Source organism: Homo sapiens, chromosome 12, assembly GCF_000001405.40.
Source record: "Homo sapiens chromosome 12, GRCh38.p14 Primary Assembly".
Lineage (NCBI taxonomy): Eukaryota > Metazoa > Chordata > Mammalia > Primates > Hominidae > Homo > Homo sapiens.
The window spans coordinates 7,219,999-7,246,476 of record NC_000012.12 but is presented as its reverse complement, the minus strand read 5'-3'; the positions used below and the strand labels follow the sequence as shown (position 1 = coordinate 7,246,476).

General features: G+C 37.6%; 1 pseudogene; it reads right to left on the bottom strand.

Moving 5' to 3' along the window:
• LOC100420983 (acyl-CoA synthetase medium chain family member 6 pseudogene) lies at window positions 5,489-9,066 on the bottom strand (annotated as a pseudogene).

Genomic DNA, 26,478 nt, shown 5'->3' with positions numbered 1-26,478 from the left:
TATTTTTAAAAATGTATTTCAAATTAAATTGCAGACACAAGTACACTTCCTCCTAAGTACAGTATGCATATTATTAATTAGCTCAATATTTGTTCATAGTTTTAATCGTTTTTTCTTTTAAGATAAAATTTACTATAACGAGATGAACAAAAAAAGTGTTATTTCTGACAAACGTATATAACTATGTAAACAAAACCCCTGTCAATATGCAGACCTTTACTATCATCTGAGAAAGCTCCCAGTACATCTCTGTTCACCCCTACCCTACCCAGGGACAACCATTGTTCTGACTTTTTTACACTATAGATTAGTTTTGTTTATTCTAGGAAGTCTTATATATGGAACCATACAGTACAATTTTTTTCTGTATAAGGCTTTCTTTGTTCATCCATGTTTTTATAGTTTGTACTTTTATTGCTAAGTCATATTCAATTACATGAATATACTGCAATTTGTAGTATACTATTGACATTGCCTGGGCTGGTCCCAGATTTTGCCTGTCATAAATAAATTGGAACACTTTTGTACAAGTCTTTTTGAGGACACTGTCTTCTGAGGAGTGGAATTTCTGGGTCATAGGGCTTGTATATGTTTAATTTCACAAGAAATTGCCAGAGCTTTTTCCAAAGTGGTTGTACTATTTTATACCCTTAGCAAAAATGTATGAGTTCTTGTTGCTCTACAGTTATGCTGATAAAGTATTTGATGTTAGCAGTCTTTCAAATTTTGGCCATTCAGGTGGGTGTATGGTTGCAAATTGTTATAGTTTTAATTTGCATTTCCTTGATGACTAATAATGCTGGACATTTTTATGTGTTTATTGGCTATTCATATATTTTCTGTGGTAAAGCATCTAGTCAAATGTTTACTCATTTAAAATTTGTTCGCCTTTTTATTATATATGAGTTATAGAGGTTCTTTGTAGATCTTGGATACCAGTCCTTTTTCAGATAAATGTTTTTCAAATATTTTATCCCAGTGTGTGTCTTGCCTATTCATTTTCCTAATGATATGAGGAGCAGATGTTTTAATTTAGATAAAGTTAAATAAATAAACTTTAATTAATTACTTTTTAAATTTTAATTTAGATAAAGTTAATTTAGATAAGTTATTTTTTATTTTATAGCTATTGCTTTCTGTGTTCTGTCTAAGAAACAGAAAGTTTTAAATGCCCAAAGGACATGAAGATATTCTCCTATATTTTAGCTTTAACATTTAGGTATATGATCCATCCTGAATTAGTGGATTTCCAGTTATTCCTGCACCATTTGTCAATAAGACTTTCCTTTCTCCATTGGATCTATTGGGTGCCTTTACAAATATTAAATGATTACATGAGTATGGGTCTTTTTCTGGGCTGTTTGTTCCATTGATCAATTTGTGAATCCTCATATCAGTACCACATTGTCTTGATTACTTTAGCTTTATTATAAGTCATTAAGTCAGGCAGTATATCTCCTCAGACTTTGTCTTTTTAAATATTATTTTTGATATTGTAAGTTCTTTGCATTTTCATATGTCTTAGAATTAGCTGTTGAATTTATTATGGAAAACACCTTAGTGGAACAATGATTGAAACTGCATTTGCTATAGATCAATTTGGACATGCTAACAGCATTGAACATCCATGAACATGGAATATATTCCAATTCATGAACATAGAGCATATCTCCATTTGTTTGAATTTTCTTTTATTTCTCTCAGCACTATTTTATAGGCATTTATGTCTTTTGTTATATTTATTTCTAAATAGTTTGTGGTTTTGATGTTATTGTAAATAGAACTGCTTTTGAATTTCATTTTATAATTATTTGATGCTAGTGTATAAAAATACAATTGATTTCTGTGTACTAATCTTGTGCAACCTTGCTAAATTCACTCATTGGTGTTAATACTCATTTTGTGGATACTTTATGAATTAGCATATAAATAATTATGTCTCCCACAAGTAGATCCAGTTTTACTTCTTTTTGAATTGATACATAACATTCGTGTATATGTATGGGGTACAGTTTTACTTCTTTTCAGCCCAGGGCTCTTATTTATTTTTCTTCACTTTTATTGTAATAGCTAGGACCTCCAGTTCAATGTTAAATAGAAGCAGTGAATAGGAACATTCTTGCCTTGTTCTTGACCTTATGGAGAAGGCATTATTCAAAATTTGTCTATTATGATGTTAACTGTAAGATTTTATAGATGTTCTTTATCAGACTGAGGAAGTTGCCTCCTAATTCTAGTTTGCTCAGAGATTTTAACATGAGTGAATGTTGAATTTTGTCAAAATCTTTTTCTGCATCTATTAAAATGATCATATGGCTTTTTCTTTTTTTTCTGTAAATAGGGTATATTATATTACTTTTCTTTTTCTTTTCTTTTTTTTTTTTTTTTTTTGATGGAGTCTCACTCTGTCACCAGGCTGGAGTACTATCTTGGCTCACTGCAACCTCCACCTACCAGGTTCAAGTGATTCTCCTCCCTCAGCCTCCCAGGTAGCTGGGACTACAGGCATGCCCCACCATGCCCAGCTAATTTTTCTATTTTTAGTAGAGACAGGGTTTCACCATGTTGGCCAGGATGGTCTCGATCTCCTGACCTCGTGATCTGCCCACCTTGGCCTCCCAAAGTGCTGGGATTACAGGCGTGAGCCACCCCACCCGGCCTATATTACTTTTGAAATGTTAAATCAACCTTCCATTCCTAGGATAAATCTCACTTGGTCATTAGGTATAATCCTGTTTATGTATTGATGGATTTGATTTGCTAAAATTTTATTATGGATTTTTACATATGTGTTTATGAGGAATATTAGTTTGTAATTTTTTAGTTTTGATAATCATGTTATACTGACCTTATAAAACAAGCTGGAAAGTGTTGCCTCCTCCCCTCTTTTCTGAAAGAATTTTGGTTGATTTGGTGTTCTTTCTTAAATGTGTGGTGAGGTTTACCACTGAAACTACTTGGGCCAGAAGCTTTCTTTGTGGTAAGGTTTTTAAATTATTTCAATTTCTGAAGTATATATTGAATTATTCAGGCTTTTTGTTGTATTTTGTGACAGCTTGGGAAAGTTATATTTTTCATCAAATTTTTCTATTTAATCTACATTGTTGAGTTTGTTGATATAAAATTGTTCATAACATTTTTTCTTATCTTTTTAATCTGTGTGAGATCTATAGTGATAATGCCTCTTTCATTCCCAATACTAAGAAAAATGTTTATGTTAAAAGATGATCATCCAGGGGTTCTCTAAAATGAAAAATGGGGGGAAAAAAACTCTTGAATGTTCAAAAATAAGGGATTGGTAAAGCAAAATACTTAGGCATCTTGACATAATGAATTACCGTGTGGCCCTTAAAATTATATTAAAACTACAATGAAATACTTCTACACACTTACTAGAATGGTTAAAATTTAGGAGGTTCACAATAACAAGTGTTGGTGAGGATGTGGAATGACTGTAACTTTCATTTCATTGGAACATTTCACTCTATTGTGGCAAGAGTATAATTTGGTAATTTTAAAACTGTGTGGCTATGTCTACTAAATCTTAAAATACATATACCTATGACTCAGCATTTCTGTGTGTGTGTATAAACACTCCTATTTATATATAGTATCCACACACGTACTATTTGTATATACTATAAATCTCTGCATATGTTCACTACAAGACATGCAGAAAAATATTCACAGTGAAGTGGCCTCATGGTCTGGGGTGACACTCGAGGTTCATTGTCTCACAGCCATGGAGATCAAGGACACGGAAACACAGAGCGAGGTTAAGAGCTGAAATTTAATAGACGAAGAAAGAGAATAGCTCTCTGCCACAGAGAGGGGTCCTGGAAAAATGGGTTGCCAATCCATGATGAAATGCAGGGGTTTTTATAGATGAGCTAGCGGTGAGGCAGTGTCTGATCTACATAGGGCATGAAAAACTGGTTAGAACCAGGTGCACCACCTGCGTAAGGGCACAAATCTCTGGCAGCCCCCACCACAATCTTTTATTATGCAGGTGGGTTCTCTGCCTGAGCTTCTCCATGTTGCCCAGTTCTTTCTTACTATACATGTGCTAATAAGAAAGGGAAGGTAGAACCCCATGGTGGACATGCCTGGCCCCCAGGTTGCCCCTTTCTATCAGTGCAGCTGCAGGCCTCCCCCTGTGCAAGCTTCCAGCTTCCTTATCTATGTTTGCAGCTTGAGCTTTCAGACTGCTCTTTGTTAGAAAAAAGTAATTTCTTGGGCTGCTTTTTGTTAGAAGGGAAGTTCTGCCAAGGACTCTTTTGCCCTCACTATCTGCCTAAATAATTTCTGTCTACCTCCTATATCAAGAGCAGTGTTATTCATGTAATCTCAAATTGGAAACATCAGTCACCATTAACAGAAGAATGGATAAATTCTGGGTGTAGTCATACAATGGAATTCTGTATAGCAATAAAAAAGAAGATCCATACAACAACATAAATGAATTGTCCAGACATTATTTTGAGAGAAAGAAGGCAGACACAAAAGAGTACAAACCATGATTCCATTTGTATGAAGTTCAAGGACAGGCAAAATTGACCTGCAGTTTAGAAGTCAGAATAATGGCTACTTCTGGATGAGGGGCTCAAACTAAAAATTTGAGAGCAGTTAGAGGCAGAGACAAGCACTTCATTCACTGCTACTGCAATAGGGAGCACTCCAGGGAGAGTGACTTTCTGAGCAAAATTTAGTTGGGATTGTTTCATTGGGTCAAGGATCAGAGTGGAAATGTGGTAAGAAAGCAAGTTTGCTGAATCAGGTCTCAGAATCAATGGCATGTAATAGCAATGAGTCCGTAAAACCTAGGTCTTCATTTCTATTTCTCAACACTCCTGTGATTTTTGTGGTCAACAAGCTCTGAGTCAGGATGTCTCATGGTATCTGCTTGCCACCATCTGCTCCTTGGAATTAATTGCTCCTTAGAATTTAGTCTCAGTCCTTGAAACTGTCTTTAGGCGTAGAAATTTAGTCTACCGTTCATGAAAGAAGTACAGCTTTCACAGAGGTATGAGGTCTGAGGTCTAAGGACATGAGAGAGCCCAGGAGGCTAGAAATATCCTATATCTTGATCTAGATGGTTAGAGGGGTTTATATATATGTAGATCCATTGAGCTGTTCATGTAAGATCTGTGTATTTATTGGTCATGATAAACTCAAATTTTAAAAATGAATTTATATATTTAATTGCACAGAAAAAAATATTTCTATTACAATGTTGAGTGAAAAAGGCAAGTTATGCTAGAGCATTTCTCCCTGAACTCACTTGTATTAAAAAAGTTTACATATAAGAAGAAAGAAGACTAGAAGAATATACTCCAAAATATGAGACTGTGCATAAGTTTTATTTTTTATTTTTGGTTGTTTGCATTTTCTAAACTTTAGAAATATAATTCTGATGTATCTGAGGTGGTCCAGCATCTTCTCCAAACTCTCTCAGCCCCAAGCTCAATAGCAATAACCACAGCATTCACAACCTCTGACCCAACGCATCAGCAACATCATCAGCTCTACCAGACAACCAGAGTAGCCATCTTTATCCCTGATCCCTCTGTCCCCTGTGAGGTAAAGCATGTGGCCTCTTGCTGAAGAATATTCCTCCCAGCTCACCTGATAAAATGACAAATCCAGAAACCTATATTTACTTCCCTTTCACAATCATTTAATGATATGAATTGAGCACTGTGGCTACCCATAAGGGAGACTGAGAAAAATAAGTCAGGATCCCCACTCTCCGGGGGATTCCACATAGAAAACTCAACACACATGGAGAACTTTTCTTGGTCATTTCTCTTAATCTCAGCTCTTTTTTTTTTTTTTTTTCCTGGCCCAGCTGGAAACAGGAATAATAATGGCACTTCACTCACAAGTTTGTCCTGAGGTTTAAATGAGGCAACATGAACACAGCATTTTAGCAAAGGGCCAGGTACGGACTGTGTAAGGGTTGTTGGCTGCTGTTTTCTCAGGCTCATCATTCATCACATGCAATCACTGCTCCCTGGCTTTGAATTGTTCCTTTAATTTTCACACTGCCCATGACAAAAATTTCATCAGAAAAAGGTGCATTTAGACTAAGGTTCTTATACCAGAAACACAATGAAAGGGATTGGTAAAAATGCTCCTTTGCATGAGGCAGGCCCATTTTGCTGGATTGTTCTGTGGAGTGTTCACAGATTCTAACAGCATTTACTCGTTGCCATAGAGACCATGTGACTAATTTGTTCAGATTCTTACATCTAATGGACAACCTGCTTATTGAAGTTCTAATGAACTCCAGTAAAACGCTGTGTAAGCAGCTCACTCCCAAACAACATAATAATCCCAGTAGGTATTTGAGATCTGCATCTCTTCTTTGGAATCTGTGTCTTACGGGTGGGAACAAGATTTTAAAGTTTCAGCGTATTAAGTTGTCTTGTCAAAGTTTGGAAATATTAAGCAATATTCTCTTACAGAAATTCATAATATTAAATTATTTAAAATGTTTTACCTAGGCTTTAACTCAAAAACTCCACAAGAAATACTCAAAGAAGCATTTAAAGAGTTAACAAGAATACTCATTGAAGCAGTATTTACAGTATAAAACATTGGAAATAACCAAAATTTTCAACAATGGTAGATATGATAAATAGATCATCATAGTTGTCCTTGATAGGATTCTATACAATTATTTAAAATGTTGTCATATAAGAGCGGGGTGTGGTGGCTCACACCTGTAATCCCAGCACTTTGGGAGGCCGAGGTGGGAGGATCACTAAACGAGGTCAGGAGTTCCAGACCTGCCTGGCCAACATGGTGAAACCCTGTCGCTACTAAAAATACAAAAATTAGCCAGGTGTGGTCCCGAGCACCTGTAATCCCAGCTACTCAGGAAGCCAAGGCAGGAGAATCTCTTGAACCCGGGAGGCAGAGGTTGCAGTGAGCCGAGATTGTGCCACTGCACTCAGCCTGGGTGACAGAGCAAGACTCTGTCTCAAATAAATAAATAAATAGTCATATAAGATTTACTTGTATCTGAAAATCATAAGTAAAAAAACAGGCTTCACAAAAGCTGATAGAAAATAATCCCATTTTGATAAACAATACACATAAATAGAAAAAGAATAAAGGATATATACACACCAAATGTTCATGGTGAGTGATAATGGTGGCATTATGAATGGACAGGCTTTTCTTCTTTGGTCTTTTCTATATTTTTCAAAGTTTTTTGTATTGAACATAAATGAGTTTTATTATCAGGAAAGGCTAAATAAATACAAGTATTTTTAAAATAATTAAAAGAAAGCTCCCCTTTATAGAAAATATGGACCGTGATCTGCTCATCTTTATGGAATAATGTCACCTAATTAATGTATAAGAAATAGCACTTTCTTATACATACTGCACCTCCCATTTTATTTTATTAATTTTTTTTTAGTCAGGGTCTTGCTCTGTTGCCCAGGCTGGAGCACAGTGGTGTGATCACAGCTCATTACAGCCTTGACCTCCTGGGCTCAGTCTATCCTCCCACCTAAGCCTCCTGAGTAGCTGGGACTACAGGTGCACATCACCATGCCTGGCTAATTTTTTTTTTTTTTTTTTTAGTAGAGATGGGGTTTGTCATGTTGCCCGGGCTAGTCTTGATGCCCTGGGCTCAAGTGATCTGCCCACCTTAGGTTCCCAAAGTGCTGAGATTGCAGGCTTGAGTCACTGTGCCCAGCCACTCTCTATTTTAATAATTGATTCTGAAAAGAAAAGAATCATCTATGGATGCTAAAATAGTTGGGTGAAAGTTAACTGGAGAATAGGATACTTACGCAGTCTCAAATTATTACACAACAGATTACATACTAATTACAAAGAGGAAAATATACCTTTACAATGGAGAGAAATGGCAGTCACCTCTTTAATCGAAAGATCAAAACTGTCAGTATCCAAAACGAGACAACACAATGTTTCCTCAATATAAGCAAATAAGAACTACACATTTCCTACATAACATTCTTGAGAAAGATGTTTATCTCGGATCTCATTATAAGGAAATTAGAAAGTGAGGCATTTTCTAACACAACAGTCCTCTACTCTTCAAAATGTCCATGTCATGAAAAACAAACAATGGTGGTGGGACAGTTTTAGATAAAAATAACTAAGGAGATATGAGAACCAAATAAATAAATGAACCTTGATTGAATTCTGGATTTACCAAAGCTGTAAAACACATTCGAGTACAACTGAGAAAATCTAAATATTGGCTGGATATTAGATAGAATTAAAGAATTATTTTTAATTTTCATAGATGTAATAATGCTGATGATTAAGAAGAAAATCTTTGTTCTTCAGAGAATGCTGCTGAAATATTTAAGAACAAAGTATCATAATGTCTGCACTTACTCCCAAATGTCTCATTAAAAATATACAAATAGGCCGGGTGCAGTGGCTCATGCCTGTAATCCCAGCACTTTGGGAGGCCAAGGTGGGCCAATCACTTGAGGTCAGGAGTTTGAGACCAGGCTGGCCAACATGGTGAAACCCCGTCTCTACTAATAATACAAAAATTAGCCAGGCATGGTGGTGGGTGCCTGTAATTCCAGCTACTCGGGAGGCTGAGGCAGGAGAATCACTTGAACCCAGGAGGCGGAGGATGCAGTGAGTAGAGATCGCACCACTGCACTCCAGTCTGGGTGACAGAGTGAGACTCTGTCTCAAAAAAGGAAAGAAAAAAGCAAATATAAAGTAAATGAGGCAAAATTTTAATAATAAGTGAATATAGGTGAGAGATGTACAAGTAGGTGTTCATTGTGCTACTATTTTGACACTTGTAGACTCAAAAATTTGCAAAATTAAAAGTTGGGACAAAAGTACTTGACAAATCATAAAGTACTCAAAAACAATGGCACTATGATTAGTAGCAACAATGAAAGTATTTAGAGAAAAAGAAACTTTTCTTACCATGTGTGGACAGTACAGAGAAACAGGTTGGTTTAGTTTTATATGAATTGTAATATTTCCTTCTTCCCCTAGAGACAGGATATTTGAGTTTTCACCCACAATCTGAAATTAGGTAACCATTAAAGGGATTTTCCTTACAAACCATTTGTGCTCTTCCTACCAGATCTAAACACAGGATCTAAACTTAAGCCTTACTACCCCCATTCAATATTCCAGGAAAGTGCTTGGTCAGTGTACCTAGAAACTGGGCAACCTAAGAGGGGTGTGGTTGGGTGGTGAGTGTGAGGGTGCCAGAGCTGGAAACATTTGGGTTTGCATGTCCACTCTGACACCTTCTGACTTTGAGAAGCTTGGATGCTTCTCTGAACCTCAGTTTCCTCATCTAGAAAAGCAGAGATTTAAAAATGCACCTACTGTATAGCTTTATTGTGAGGATGAAATAAGGTGATACAGGTAAGGGCTCCAGTGCCTGGTTAGTACAAAGTTTTAAGAAACCAGCATCTCGGGAAGGCCTTTCCAACCAGGAAGCTTAATTAGTCATCAAATGTTTAAGAAAATAAATATAAAAAACATGAAATTTTAAAAACAGATTTGGCAGTTTTATAACAGTATAGGAGGTGGTGTTATTTTTTCCTTTCAAGGATTGGAAGGCAGGTTGGGAGCAAATAAAAAAAAAATTTGAAAATAATGAGTTATTTCAGCTGAGTGGCTTCTTTATTGACTAAAATAGAGGATATGACCGTGAAGTAATGTGACATGAGTTAAAAAGTGGACTGAGATGCTACCTCAATTTTGAGGCCACAACCTTCCAGGTTATCACCTTGGAAAGCAATCTTCATACTCATCTTGAATTTATTATCCTTGCTGAATACTTTGAAACTTTTATATAGGAAGCACCAGCTCTAAGGATCAGAAGGTGCTCAGAGATAGTAGATCTTCATACTTTGATGGCAAACTTTAGACTTTAGGGAAAAAAGTGGCATTTAGTACTAAGTCTAGTAAATTAGATAAATTATCTGGAGAATACAATTTTAAATGAGATTTTTAAAAACTGATTCTATTTTCAATGAAATTGTTCTATGAATTTTATTTTTTGATTGTTTATTGATATTATATAGACATACAGTTGATATAATTTTTATATATTGATCTTATATCCTGCAACTTTGATGAACTCAATTATTAGCTCTAATAGTGTGTGTATGTGTTTGTATGTATGTATTCCTCAGGATTTTCTATATACATTGTGATGTTATCTGTTGAATAGAGATAGTTTTACTTTTTCTTTTCCAATTTGGATGCTATTTCTTTTTCTTGCCTAAATGCCCTGGATAGAACACCTCTATGTTGAATAGAAGTGGCAAGAGTGAATATTCTTGTAAGTCCTGATCTCAATGGGAGCACTTTCAGTCTTTAACTGTTGAGTATGATGTGAGCTGTGGGGTTTCTGTATATGTCCTTTAACAGGTTGAGAAAGTTCCCTTTCATTGCTAGTTTGTTGAGGGTTGTTACCATAAATAGGTGTTAAATTTTGTCAATGATTTTTCTGCATCTACTCAGATGATCAGGTGATTTATGTCCTTTGTTTTACTAATATGGTATATTAATTGGTTTTCATAGTTTGAACCAATTTTGTATTTCTGGTATAATCCCACGTGGTTGTGAAATATATTCCATTTATATGTTCCTTGTTAGGTGGGCTAGTATGTTTTTGAATTTTTTTGCACCTATAGTCATAAGGAATATTAATTTGTGGTTTTCTTTTCTTGTGATGTCTTTGGTTTTGGTGTCAAGATAATCGTGGCTCATACTATGACCCCATTTTGAGGCCCAGCCTCCAAAATCCTGGTCTTACATATTTTTTGGAGAATTTGTGAAGGATTAATGTTAATGCTTCCTTAAATGTTGGATGGAATTCACCATGAAGCCATCTGGGCCTGGCCTTTTCTCTGTGGGAAGTTGTGTGTGTGCACACGTGTGTGTTGGATGGGGAATGTAAGAAATTAAGTTACAATACTTCATTTTGACAAATTGAAAAATTAAAAACCTATTCATCACCTCCAAAAAGTTTCCTTCCACCCTCTGACTTTATTATTATTATTATTTTGGTAATAAGAACACTTAAAATATCTCCTTAGCAAGATTTTAAGAATATAATACAGTATTGTTAACTGTTGGCATTATGCTGTACAGTAGATCTCTAGCAGTTATTCTCTGTGTAGCTGAAATTTTGTACCCTTTGATGAATACCTTCCTGTTTTCTCCTCCCCACCAGCTCCTGGCAACCACCAATTCACTTTCTGGATCTATGAGTTAAACTTTTTTTTTTTTTAAGACAGAATCTTGCTCTGTCACCCAAGCTGGAGTGCAGTGGCGCAATCTCGACTCACTGCAACCTCCGCCTCCCAGGTTCAAGCGATTCTCCTGCCTCAGCCCCCCAAGTAGCTGGAATTACAGTCGTGTGCCACCACGCCAAGCTAATTTTTGTATTTTTAGAGATCTGGAGTTTTACCATGTTGGTCAGTCTGGTCCCAAACACCTGGCCTCAAGTGATCCAAACGTTGGCCGGCCAAACTGCTGGGATTACAGGTGTGAGCCACCTCACCCGGCCAAAATTGTTTTCTTAATTTCCTTTTTGGACAATTTATTGTAGTGTATAGAAACACAACTGATTTTGGTACATCGATATTGTATCCTGAAACTTTGTTAAATTTGTTTATCCTAAGTTTTTTTGGTAAATCTTTAGAATTTTCTATATATCATATATAGAAATATAATTTTCTGCACATCTATAAGATCATGTAATCTGCAAACAGAGATAATTTTACTTCTTCCTTTCTGATTTGAATACTTTTTATTTTCTTTTCTTGTCTACTTACTCTGGCTAGGACTTCTAATTCTATGTTGGATAGAAGTGGTGAGAATGTACATCATTTCCTTGTTCCAGATCTGAGAGAAAACGCTTTCAGTTTGTGACCGTTGAGTATGATGTTAGCTGTGTGCTTTTTATATATGGCCTTTATTTTGTCAAGGTAAATTCCTTCTATACCTAATTTGTTGAGAGTTGTTATCATCAAAGGGTGTTGAATCTTGTGGAATGCTTTTGCTGTATCTTTTGAGATTATCAAGTCATCTTTGTCCCTCATTCTGGTAGAAAGCATGTGTGAAGCCATTTGGGTCTGGGCTTTTCTTTGTTGGAAGGCTTTTTGTTTTTTGTTTTTTGGGGTTTTGTTTGTTTGTTTGTTTTTTGAGATGGAGTCTTGCTCTGTCACCCAGGCTGCAGTGCAGTGGCACAATCTCACTCACTGCAACCTCCACCTCCCGGGTTCAAGCGATCCTCCTGCCTCAGCCAGCCAAGTAGCTGGAATTACAGGTGCGTGCCATCACACCCAGCTAATTTTTGTATTTTTAGTAGACACAGGGTTTCACCATGTTGGCCAGGCTGGTCTCAAACTCCTGACCTCAAACGATCCACCAGCCTTGGCCTGCCAAATGCTGGGATTACAGGCGTGAGCCACCACACCCGCTGGAAGGTTTTTGATTACTAATTTAATCTCCTTATTTGTTATTGGTCTGTTCAGACTTTTTAATTCTTCATAATTCAGTCTTGGTAGGTTGTATGCTTTCAGGACTTTATTTTCTCTAAGTTGTCCATTTTGTTGACGTATAATTATTCTAGGGATTCTTCACATTTCTGTGGCAGGAGTTGCAGTGTCTCCTCTTTCACTCCTGATTTTCTTTCTTTGAGTATTTTTCTCTTTTACTTTTCATAGTTATAGGGTTTGTTGATTTTGTGGAAAGAGTTTTTTCTAAGAAAATCCTAAAGAACATTTTATTTTTTATTTTTTGTTCATACTTTAGTATGCAATGAACATTTTAATTTTTTCTTATTTTTTGAGAGGAAAATTATATGCTCATTTTATTCATGACTCTAAATGCAAAGGTTCAAACAAACAAAAATTAAGAAATTTTACCCAAGAAAATAAAATCAGGAAAGAAATGCAATGCAAATTTAACATTTGAAAATATTTTTAAATTAACTCTAACAGGTTAGTCGAGAAAAACTATTTTATCTTTTCAACAGAATCGGAAAACTCATTTAATATAATGTAATACCTATTCATGATTATTGGAAAAAACAAACATATAAACCGCAACAAATTAGGCTAACTTCCACACTCTGTTAAATAATATATAGTAAAAATGGATATGCAAACAAAAAACAAACAATAGAACTCTACAATAAACATCTTTAAAAAATTGGGTCAATTTCGGAATGATACAATAGTTAAAGTAAATACTAATGTTTGTCTCATTCAGGTTGAGAACTTACTATTTCCTTTTGACCAATGTATAAAAAAAGGCAAGATACACATGAAGGCAAAGGACTATCTTAAAATGAATAATGGTAATTTTATAACTGCTGCTAATTTGAGCCTGCTTTTATGTAATAAAATGCTAGACACTAACATTTGCCTTACCATCTTAGTATTGCTACCTATGCCTGTACTGTGAATTCAGCAACACCATTCCCAAATACACTACAGTGTTTATAATCAACACCTGAGCAGCTGACCAGCGGCTAAGACTTCCCACTTTAGTGTATTTTTAGTTCAAGTACAGAACCCTTATTATGGTACATTCAAAATAGTTGTCTTTATTTTGCTCATATCTTTCTAATAGCAAATATGTTTTTCTTTACTTTCTCCATGTTTGAAACTTGAACTACATTAAAGGGATATTCTGCAAAATTGTCAGCATCTCTTTCCCTCATTCCTGTGTCTAGGCTCTTTATTCTAAAAGGACATTGAGGGGAAAATAAAAGCAATAATGTGAGATTACCCTTGGGGTGCATTTAGAGAATGTTGGACTTTCCTTGTTGCCTACCTTTATGTTAGAAATTTAGATAAAAAACCGTAAGAGCTCACTTAATAATAGCTGTCATAATCATTACTATGATCTCCTACCTGGACAATATAAGGTAGCAGAGAGCGTGGCTTCAATTTTATTATTTTGGGAGTGGCACAGAGTAGACCCTATTTAAAGAAATGCAGACAAGTTTTTATCTTCAAAAAGCAATAAATTAATGGATCTAGTCATAATCATCAATGGCTACTATCATCATGAAAAAAATAACCTAACCAGACATTATGTGCCTCCTAAGAGAACAACATTATACAGCCTAAGAAGTAGTCTTGTTAAAAAAAAAAAAAATCAAGCAAGAGTCTGACTAAACCTCTAGATCAATTTACAGGAAATGTAGGGGAACAGAAGAACATGTAAACCACACCATATGTATGCAATTAGCAAAATTCAAGCTGTGAAATATTCAAAAAAACCAACAACTCAGTTCTTGAAAATAACAAATTGCAAGGGAAAAAGAAGGTAATGAGAAAATTCATAGATTAAAAGATACACAAAACACTTATCAACTAACCCAATGTGTGAGCTTAATTGGAACAAATGGTAGCAAGAAAAGATGCATGACTTAGATAATCAATGAAAATGTGAATGGTGGATATTTGATCGTAAGAAGCAATTATTGTTAACTTTTAGGTATAATTGGAGAATATGTTTGTTTTTAGAGTCCTTGTTTTTTAGATATATATACTAAAGCTATTTATGAATAAAATGTAATTTTGGAGATTGGTTAGGAGTAATGAAAAAACAGGATTAGCCATAAGGTAATAATTGTTGAAATGGGGCAGTAGATACATGAGAATTCAATATACAATTTTGTCTATTTTTGTATGTCTTTTGAGATTTTCAATAATAAATGTTTCAAAAATAAGTAATTGTTTTAGGCTGCTGAGAAATACTTCAACACAGCATATAGGGCACTCCAGAGAGGGCACAGATGTCTACCTCGGAAGACATGAGAACTGGATCTTGTATGAGTCAATCATGGGTGTAATGGGATGGGGAAATTTTTATTTATTAGAATTTCACAAAAACCAGGTAAGATGGTCCATCCTGGAGAGCCTGCTTCCTATAAGGGAAGTCATCTCAGTGAGGGAAGTCATCTCAATGAGGGAAGTCATCTCCATCTCAGTGAGGGACTTGACATTTCCCAAGGGGCTGAGTGCTGTGGAAAAATTTAGAGGTGAGACTCCTGGATGGCAAGGCAGAATAATCTGTGAGATGGCAGGGGAGCAGTGCATGACAGGTTTCCTCTCCATAGTGCCCCAATCTACATTAAAGTTACTCTTTTTGTGAATTCACAATTGTGATTTCCTCTGCTGTAGAAAACAGCAAGGGACAAACATCTGTGTACCAACTGGCATGTGGCCAAATGGAGTCAGCACACACAGATGCAGAAAAACAGAGGGAAACTGATCCCATTCACTTTATTTTACAACTCCAGTGACATAGCTTTTGCATTTGCTGGTTTCTCTACCCTCAATGCTCCCTCTACTCACTTCTCTTTTCTACCTTGGCTTAGATGTCACTTCTCCCAGGGTGCTCTCTCTGATTCCCCAGGCCAAGTTAGATGTCCCTTCCACGCATTTCCAGTGTAACCTGTGTTTCTGCTTCATCACGCTTTTTCCACTGTACAATTGCCTATATTATTTGTTCTTTTGATGAGGACAGGAATTTTTATTATTATTATTTAGAAAATAGAGATAGGGCTCACTATGTTGCCCAGGCTGGTCTCAAACTCCTGGATTCAAGTGATCCTCCTGCCTCAGCCTTCGAAAATGCTGGGATTATAGGCAAGAGTCACCACACCAGGCCTACAAAAGTAATTATTTCTGTCTTTTACATAGTTATTTCTCCAGTACCTATTGCTGTGTCTTATAAAAGAGAATTAATATTTTCCTGTGTTTCTTGTGTTCAAATTGGGGCCCCCAGATTCTGAATGTTTTTGAGAATGGCCATAGTGATCTCATTGTAGTGTACTATGGTAACTAGTTTTATGGTTCCTTTAAGAACTCCTCTTTTCCTCCATGTAATTCTGGTGGGACTATTAATCATGGTCCTATAGATCCACTCCTGGGGATGAACAAATGTCCCAGGTTAGACTCCTTAAGTTACAGTCCCAGGGAAAGGCAGATGGCAAAAGCCTGGCCAATCAGCATATGTTCCAAGAATTTTCCAAAGTAGAGGTGGGGGAGAAGTAGGGCTATTTTGACCTTGACCTAAGGAGAGGTGACTCCAGAGTTGCTGGTGTTTATTTTGTCTGCTTTGTGGAAGAAATTCATCAGATAACAACTCGCAGAAAAAAGTAAATGGAGTGATTGAGAGGGAGAGAAAGAGAGGGATCTGATGTTTTACAAGTTAATATGTTTTAATCCTGGTGTTTTGGCACCTCCAGTCTTGATTCCGTAAGCTGCCTTGATGGTGCTCCCAGCAAAATGGATTTATAATTAACACTTTTGCTCAGGCTTGTTTGAAATAAATTTCTGTCACTTGCATCCGCAATAATGCTGGCTAACACAAGGGTCTTTAGCTATTGCCAGTATATTACAATTAAATGGAAGATGTAAATTTTCTCTTGTGTAGGCTGTGTGACTAACTAAAAATGCCAATCTATTAAGTGTTGCTGGAATCATATCAACTTAGTGTGGTAACCTTGCTGATTTCAGATGTTCTGAGTGTCAGCCATATTTGTATTTCATAAAAAGAAAGATAAAGCCAAAATCAGTATTGCCTAAGATGTGCATTTTCTTGTTAGACAGAATTTTCACAAGCTGAGATCAGTGGGAAAACACAATGCAATGAGTCTCGGGTACTGAAAATGTCAACTCTTTTGTAATTAAATAGATCTGTGAGTGTGGTATAGACAGAATTTGAGACAGAATTTGATTATTTCTTAAATTCCCTCTTTTATGCTTTTGAATTATAATCTGCCTACCAAGTGTGAGCTTGACTATGATGTCATCTTGAAGATTTGAACCTTGTGTTCTGAATTTTCTTTTATCTTTCTAAGTGAGGGTGTTTCCTGAGCCAATGGAACCACATGGCACCACCAGTGTCCTCAAACTATAGACCTCTCCCCAGAGCCTGGGCTATCAATTTGACTGTTTTGTCTTCTCCCAGGCAGGCTGAGGTGTTTCTAGTCACCAGAGAATGTTTTTAGAAGTATAAGGACAGAACTAAGTCCTATAGAAAGGCTTTGGTGTTACCAAGATTATGGAATTCCCTTCTTAGTATAATTCATAAAAACAGTAGTAACATATAAAACAAATGTAAGAAATCCCCCCTCCCAAAGTCTTATTTTTCCCATGCTGGCTATTTGAATGTTTTTAAAATAGTGGGTATTAAATTCTTTCAAAAATATTTTGGGTTTCTGCTTCTCAGGTACCCTATTTTATGGACCATCTAGCAGTCAATGCAGTTAATCCAGGCAGCACCTCCCTATGTTCTATTGTTCCTCTCCACCTGGAAAACACTGAGACCAATTCTTGTAAAACTTTGGCCACCAGCCTAAGGTACCAGCTCTCACATTTCTATCTGTGGTGTTCCCATCATATAAATTCCTCTGCTTATTTCTCTTTTCCTGCATTCTCATTTTCATGTTGCAGGAACAGGACTGTTTGTTCCCTGACTCTTCCTCTCCCTCCAGAAACGTTTCATAGTGCCCTCTAGATAGACTATCAATTGAGTGGTTAAGGAACTATTCTACATCCACATCTTCTATATCTTCTTCACTTGATGTTCTCTTTATCATTTACCTTTCCAGAGACCTGGCTCTTCCATGTAAAGATGTTACTACTTTTCCTTTTCAAGAGGGGGATGTTGATTCTTCTACACTCCTTAGGTTTGGCATCCTCTGAGCTCCCAATACCACCTCCTGACCATTACTTCTCTGACCCTGTGAGCAATCCCCTTGTCTTTTTGAGACTCACACCCTTTACTTTTACCACCCTATGCCACTCTTGGTTGCTATAATTTACCAACCTGTCAGTCATTCCTTACTCATTAAAGCCTTCAGCATGAGGTTCATGATCCTTCCTTTGACTCCATGTCCCACCATTATCCTGAGTGCCTCCTACATTTATATGGATAATCAGTCCTACCCCTATTCTCTTCCTTCCTTGATCCTGATCTCCAGAGAGTATCATGACACTTAATCTACCTGTGGCCATGTCCTTGTATTGGCATCACCTGTAAATGTTCTATCTCTGAAATCGTAAGTCTATGCATCTCACTTTTGAGTACTATTTCTATGGGCTCAATTGTGTCTCCCCAAAACTCATGTGCTAAAACCCTACTCCTCACTGTGATGGTATTTGGAGATGGGGCCTTCAGGAGGTCACTGGGTTTAGATGAGGTTATGAGGGTGGCACCCTCATGATGGGATTCATGTCCCTGTAAGAAAAGATGCTGGGCATGGTAGCTTGTGTCTGTCTTCCTAGGTACTCTGGGAGGCTGAGGTGGTAAGATCACTGAGGAGAGGAGTTTGAAACCAGTCTAGGCAAGATAGCAAGACTGTGTCTCTCCTAAAAAATTTACAAAAAAACTAGTCAAGCATGGTGGTGTACACCTGTAGTCCCAGCTGTTTGAGAGGCTGAGGTTAGAGAATCTCCTGAGCCCAGGGATCTGAGGCTACCAGGAGCTATGATCACACCACTGCATTCTAGTTTGGTCAAAAGAGCAAGACCCTGCCTCTCAAAAAAAAAAAAAGACACTAAAGAGCTTGATCTCTCTCTCTCCCTGTCAGGTGAGAACACCATGAGAAGTTGGCAGTCTATAACTCAGAAGAGGGCCCTCACCAGGACCTGACCTTGCTCGCACTCTGATTTTAGACTTCCAGCCTCTAGATATTTTATTATAGCAGCCTGAGCAGACTAAGACAACTACCTTCAGTCCTGCCATCCCCATTGACATCTTCAGTGCCTTGTCTTCTCACCACTGATCTGCCTTTTCTTGAATTCTCCTTTTCTGATCCACTTAGTTTCTTAGTCTTTCATCTTAATGCCAATATCCCTAGATCCCTTACCCACTGCCCTTTTATTGCACCTTCTTGGCAAAATGTTAATCCTGCTTCAATCTAACTGTCCACTTTTACCATGCTTTTCGTCTATATTTTTGAGTGATATTGGAGAATATCACACAACTAAATAGTGACTTAAAAAAATGAAGACTAATGTTCTCCAGCCTCAAATGTGCTCTTATCATTACCCATTTCTCCTTTATTTTTACAATTTGCTCTTTCTTCTATTTTCAGCAATGATAATTTTAAACAATTCTCCACTAAGACTCCTACCCCACCATTTTCTCATTCTTATCACATGACATTGCCTTACACTCCACAAAGAACTACAAACCACTGCTCAGCGAAATAAAAGAGGACACAAACAAATGGAAGAACATTCCATGCTCATGGATAGGAAGAATCAATATTGTGAAAATGGTCATACTGCCTAAGGTAATTTATAGATTCAATGCCATCCCTGTCAAACTACCAATGACTTTCTTCACAGAATTAGAAAAAACTACTTTAAAGTTCATATGGAACCAAAAAGGAGCCCGCATTGCCAAGTCAATCCTAAGCAAAAAGAACAAAGCTAGAGGTATCACGCTACCTGACTTCAAACTATACTACAAGGCTACAGTAGTCAAAACAGCATGGTACTGGTATCAAAACAGAGATATGGACCAATGGAACAGAATAGAGCCCTTGGAAATAATACCACACATCTACAACCATCTGATCTTTGACAAACCTGACAAAAACAAGAAATGGGGAAAGGATTCCCTATTTAATAAATGGTGCAGGGAAAACTGGCTAGCCATATGTAGAAAGCTGAAACTGGATCCCTTCCTTACACCTTATACAAAAATTAATTCAAGATGGATTAAAGACTTACATGTTAGACCTAAAACCATAAAAACCCTAGAAGAAAACCTAGGCAATACCATTCAGGCCATAGGCATGGGCAAGGACTTCATGATTAAAACACCAAAAGCAATGGCAACAAAAGCCAAAACAGACAAATGGGATCTAATTAAACTAAAGAGCTTCTGCACAGCAAAAGAAACTACCGTCAGACAGAACAGGCAACCTACAGAATGGGAGAAAATTTTTACAATATACCCATCTGACAAAGGGCTAATATCCAGAATCTACAAAGAACTTAAACAGATTTACAAGAAAAAAATCAAACAGCCTCATCAAAAAGAAGGCAAAGGATATGAACAGACACTTCTCAAAAGAAGACATTTATGCAGCCAACAGATACATGAAAAAATGCTCATCATCACTGGCCATCAGAGAATGCAAATCAAAACCACAATGAGATACCATCTCATACCAGTTAGAATGGCAATCATTAAAAAGTCAGGAAACAACAGGTGCTGGACAGGATGTGGAGAAATAGGAACACTTTTACACTGTTGGTGGGACTGTAAACTAGTTCAACCATTGTAGAAGACAGTGTGGCGATTCCTCAAGGATCTAGAACTAGAAATACCATTTGACCCAGCCATCCCATTACTGGGCATATAACCAAAGGATTATAAATCATGCTGCTATAAAGAGATATGCACATGTATGTTTATAGTGGCACTATTCACAATAGCAAAGACTTGGAACCAACCCAAATGTCCATCAATGATAGACTGGATTAAGAAAAGGTAGCACATATGCACCATGGAATACTATGCAGCCATAAAAAAGGATGAGTTCATGTCCTTTGTAGAGACATGGATGAAGCTAGAAACCATCATTCTGAGCAATCGCAAGGACAGAAAAGCAAACACCGCATGTTCTCACTCATAGGTGGGAATTGAACAATGAGAACACTTGGACACAGGGTGGGGAACATCACACACCGGGGCCTGTTGTGGGGTGGGGGGAGGGGGGAGGGATAGCATTAGGAGATATACCTAATGCAAATGACGAGTTAACGAGTGCCGCACACCAACACGGCACATGTACACATATGTAACAAACCTGCACATTGTGCACATGTACCCTAGAACTTAAAGTATAATAATAACAATAATAAAATAATAATAATAAAATAAAAAAGACTCTTAGAAACTAAGATCCATAGGTTGGAAACTACTTTAGAATAACTAAACTCATAAAAATAATAAGTAATTAAATCATCTGACCATTTTGAATGTTTGCCAAATTAATGGGAGGAATCTGAAAACAGACCAAATTAAGTGTTCCCCTACTTTTTTAAGATCAAGTATATTTTGAATACAAATAGTATAAAGAAACTGAAAACTAAATACTTGACTGGCATTGAGACAAAAGAGACTTCACATTTAACACAGGAAAGGATGTCATTAAAAATTAATCCTTGCTTGAAAAAAATGGGGTTTTTCCCCCTTTTTCTCTTTTATTCTGGTAAAAAAGGAAAAGATAGGAACATATAGATGATTAGGTAGCAGAATCATGTGGTGGCTAAGAGCCCAGTTTTCAGAGCCAGACAAAGTTGGGTTGGATTTAAAACCAGGCCTCACCTAAACCAATATATAGGAAGGATCTTGACAAGTTTCTTCACACCTCTGAGTCTTTTTCAAATGTAAAATAAAAATATACAAAAAAAAAAAGAGAAAAGAAAAAAAGTAGAGAACACTACATTTATGCATATCCAAGTTCTTGTGTATACATTTTTAAGCCTCCTACAGATGATAAATTCCTAAATCTCCCCAAGTTTATGAATCCACTGAGCTGTCACCTACATGGAGTCCTTCCCGATCCTTCCAGCTAGAAATTGCTGGCATGTCTATGTAATCTGTATTAACTTGCTTACCGTCTCCAAAGTGGGAGCTTCTTGAGAATAAGAACTGTGTCTTAGTCTTCGTTGAATCTGCAGGGCCAAGTAAAGCCATAACACACAGTAAGAGCTTAATAAATGTTGGATAAATAAAGAAATGAATGCATGAACATAGAATGAAAATAATCCTAAAGTTAATGACCCTCAGGGGACATTGGAGGTAGGGAAGGAGGGAGACACAAAATTCGAGTAATCACCCTCAGCACCGACTAAACTGGAGACCCTACCGGTCAAAGCAATCAAATACAAAATGTATTCAAATCCCACTCTGGGGAGGCTCAGACTGCATCCAATTTCTGCATGAAACTACACCTCAGAAGCCTCTCCAAGGCAAGAAAAAACTGACAGCATCACTATCAAGATTCAGATAGGAGGCAGCATACACAGGAATACTCATTAAATATTTATTTTCCAAATCCCCAATGACAAGTTCTGGCCAATAAAGTGTGAATGGATGTCATGTGTGTCACTTCCATGTGGAGGCAGTGAAAAGTCCAAGTAAGATGCTCCAGTCTCTCTCTTCCGCTGCCCTAGCAACTACATGTTCCAGATGGTGCATCTACAAGATGGTGGAGCCCAGGTCAACCTGGGTCCCTGAGTTACTATGTGGAGCCAAGTCCTCCACCAACCACAGCAGGTTTGTAACATGGTGATAAATAAATGGTGTGTGTGTGAGCTGTGGAGATTTGGGGGTTAACTTGTTCCAGCAGCATAAGCTAGCCCATTCTGATGAATATAATATAGAAAGAATACTTGAAAAGAAGATGGAATCTTTTGCATTAAGGTGCTTCTCAGTAGTTTCCTGGATCCAGGCTTCCTTCTTCATATTCATTCCAAGCAGCTCTCTTAGATCTCGCCTTGCTTCTTCTATTGGACTTTGTTGGCTTCCAGTCACAATTTATTTCTGATTTACTGGCATCTAGATTTAAAACTCTTTTTGAAAGCAGCTGGACCTACGTGCATTCATCTCCTTTTTCTTTTTATGTCTGTCTCTACTGACAGTCATCTTCCCATTTCTTCCCCTCTGTCCCTGATCCATGACCCTTAATCTTAATCATCTCTCCTTTCCTCCAGGTGAATCAATCCATCATCTTTGATTTTATTTTTATTCTTCCACCATTCCTATACTAATGAAAAAGCAATATATGCATTTTAAACCTCTTCAGTTTCTTCTTGATTTTTTTGGCAAATCTGATCCCCAGATTTAGTGCTCCATGCACAGGCTCCTTTAATTGCCTTCTTGGGTAAGAAATAATTTCACTGGGCCTGGCACAGTGGCTCAAGCCTGTAATCCCAGCATTCTGAGAGGCCGAGGAGGGTGGATCACCTGAGGTCAGGAGTTCAAGACCAGCCTAGCCAAGATGGCAAACCCCATCTCTACCACAAATACAAAAACTAGCCAGGCATGGTGGCATGTGCCTGTAGTCCCAGCTACTTGGGGGGCTGAAGCAGGAGAATTGCTTGAGCCTGGCACGGTGGAGGTTGCAGTTGAGTCGAGATCGCGCCACTGCACTCCAGCCTGGGTGAGAGTGAGACTCTGTCTCAAAAATAATAATAATAATAATTTCACTGAATTGCTTCTTTTCTTAAAAAAGACAATACATTCTTTTAATAATAAGGACTGTTTTATCTCATTTTAATATTAATACAATCTAAATGGCAACTTGGGGGAAATCGTAGTCATGATCAGAACCAGGGATGGATCCAGGGAGGAGACTAAAGTTTGTGCAGTTCGAGGAACCCTCTATAAGTAAAAGAATACAAAATTACCAATATGAAATTCCATGGTCCTACTTCAGCCCTCTCCAGTTCAAGGAGAAGTATGGCAGAGAGGGGGTTGGAGTGGAAAGAGTCATCTTAACTAACTGCATTGAAAATAGTTTACTTTTGCAAAGTTTACAGAAGCATGTGCCCTTGCAAACACAGTGTCAGGGCCCCTCCCAGAACCTTGGAAGTAGCTGGTGCAGGGAAATTTAGGTCCTGAAGCTTAAACTTCATTAGCTTCACAATTAATCCACCTCTGTTCAGAAGCTGGTGTAATTAACAACTCCAAAGCAATTTGAGCTCTTGTGAGTGGAGATTCTTAAGGTAATTGAATCCAAGGTTAATGACACCACAGTTCTATCTTTAAGCCAGAAGACAGAGGAGGAACAGAATTTGGGCATCTGATCCAAGATTGTCCATCTCTGGCTGGTACTCAGAGTTCAAAGCCACATGCTCCCACACAGGTGATCTGTCCTACACATGCAGCTTCGGTGCACTTTGAAGTCCTGCCTGTGGCCGGGCGTGGTGGTTCACGCCTATAATCTCAGCACTTTGGGAAGCCAAGGTGGGTGGATCACTTGAGGTCAGGAGTTGGAGACCAGCCTGGCCAACATGGTGAAACCCCGTCTCTACTACAAATACAAAAATTAGTCAGGCATGGTAGTGTGCGCCTGCAATCCCAGCTACTCGGGAGGCTGAGGCAGGAGAATTGCTTGAACCTGGGAGGCAGAGTTTGCAGCAAGCTGAGATTGAGCCACTGCACTCCAGCCTGGGCAAAAAGAGTGAGACTCCAAGTCTGCAAACAGATTCTTTCTTTCCTTATTGAATCCTTCCTCATCTGGGCATGCTAAGGCCTCTGCAGGCCACAGGCATCTGCTGGGGCTCTGATAGGGCCCAAGACTGGGGGAAAGCCTATATCTACTTACCTCCCTTATGCCCCCATTTTACCTCACAGCTACTGCTACTCTGGTGCCTGAAATTGTTAACTTATTTATTTCTGGCCACTTACTCTTCTAGGCTAGATTTTGAGGGGAGTGACTCTGTATTTCCAATGTCTATAACTTAAACGATACTCAACTAATGTTTATTGAATGCTTGAATGGCACTGTGCTAGACATTTAAGAGAAATTATCTTATGTAAGAATTGGTTTTCAGAACATTACTTAGGCAATTTATATTTTCATTTCAAAGGCATAAGTTTTCAGCAATAAATAAAGCAAATTCCAATTTTCAAAAACAGAAGCAGTTTATTTCCAACAAACGTATACAAGCCACACATCTCTCCTGTCTCCAAAGATACACAAGACAAACCACAACATACTAACAGGTGGAGACCCTGAGGCCTCTTACTAAGTCTTAATCAGACATAACAGAGGAGGCAGGATGTTTATATGTGTATTTATCATTTGGCTGCTTTTCAATTAAAACCACATAGAAGTAAAACAAGAAGAAAAATTTGCTATGAAAAAAAGAACTGCAGCACTGTCTACATGACATAAGGATAGAGATGAGGTGTAAAAAGAGTTGTTTTGCTTGAGAAAACAGCTTAATTAGCCTTTCACCACTGTGAAAGGAGAGTCCTCATGAGCTGATCTTGAAGGATGCTGTAGAGACAACAGAATAAACAAGAAGCCCAAAATAATCAGGTGATGTCTCAACTTCCAGTTCAATGGAATCATAATTATGTACCCTGGTAGACGTATTCATCCCTTGAGAACTAAGAATCTAAATCAAAGTTTCCAAAGTTGCAGGAACAAAAAGCACACATTTTGTGTGTGGATAATAGATAACAATGAAGAAAGCCACTTCTCCTTCCACCCGTTTGTTCCTAGACCTATATTTTCTGACTATGGGAGAGAAACTACCATATATTGGTCACTGATTCTGATCAGACACTACATCTTATAGGACAGAACCCTAACCCCTCATGGCATTGTCACTCAGCTGATGCCATAATTGAGTTGTCAACAAACTATTTCATAATTCTATCAGGCCAGTTACTTCTGAGTGATGAAATGATATACGTAAGATTGTTGAATAACATGGGTATGAACATATTGCCTGGGTTTTTTGCTGTACAATGAATTCGTAGTACAGAAGCAGTATTACATAGGATACCATCATGGTGGATAAGAATTCAATACATCCAAGAATCATAGTGGCAGCAGAAATGTCATGCACAAGAAAGACAAATCCATATCAAGTAAGTATCTATTCTAGTGAGGAAAATAATCTTGTCCTTATCCATGATGGAAGAGATCTAATATCATCACCCTGTTCATTGGTCCAATGAGCAGCACTGAAGTGGCTTGGGAAAGCAGCTGGTTGCCATTCACAAAAAAGGTCATCTTGCCAAGATGACTTTTGAGCACCACCTCTATAACAGATGACATTTAGTGAGCATTCACATGGAACACGAATATCTCCACACCTGTGCCCTTACAAAAGATTGATCTACATGCTTCTTCTCTAATTCATAGTCAGTCCTCCCTAAGTCCCTGAACATAGAGCCAAACCATCCGCCACTACCCGTGAATCAGCTTAGATCCATAACTTCTGGCCTTTCTCCTTCCAGGTAAAATGGACAGCTAAGTGCACTGCTCAAAGTTCTGACCATTAAGAAGATATTTCTTCCTAACTGCCTTTCAGGATCACCCTTGGGGAATTCTATAATGCCGTGGTCATCCACTTTTAGGAGGTACCAGCATATCATCAGAACCATCTGTAAATCAGACCTGAATTTTTTTCCTAGTCAATTTGTCATAGGAAGTTCCCCACGGAGCCTAGGTGGGGATTAAAGGAGAGGTGGCAATGCATCAAGATTAGATGCCACTGAAGATGTTAAAATATAGAAAGGAATGCGTTTCAGTGAGTAATAGCTAACATTTTTTAAACTTATATGGCAGGAACTATTCCTTATGATGATATGTAATAATTATTCTAATCTTACCAATAACCCTGGGAGGTAGGGTTTTTCTTAACATTCCTATTCTGCAAAGAGGAAAACCAAGTTAAGTCAGTCATCTAAGGTCACCCA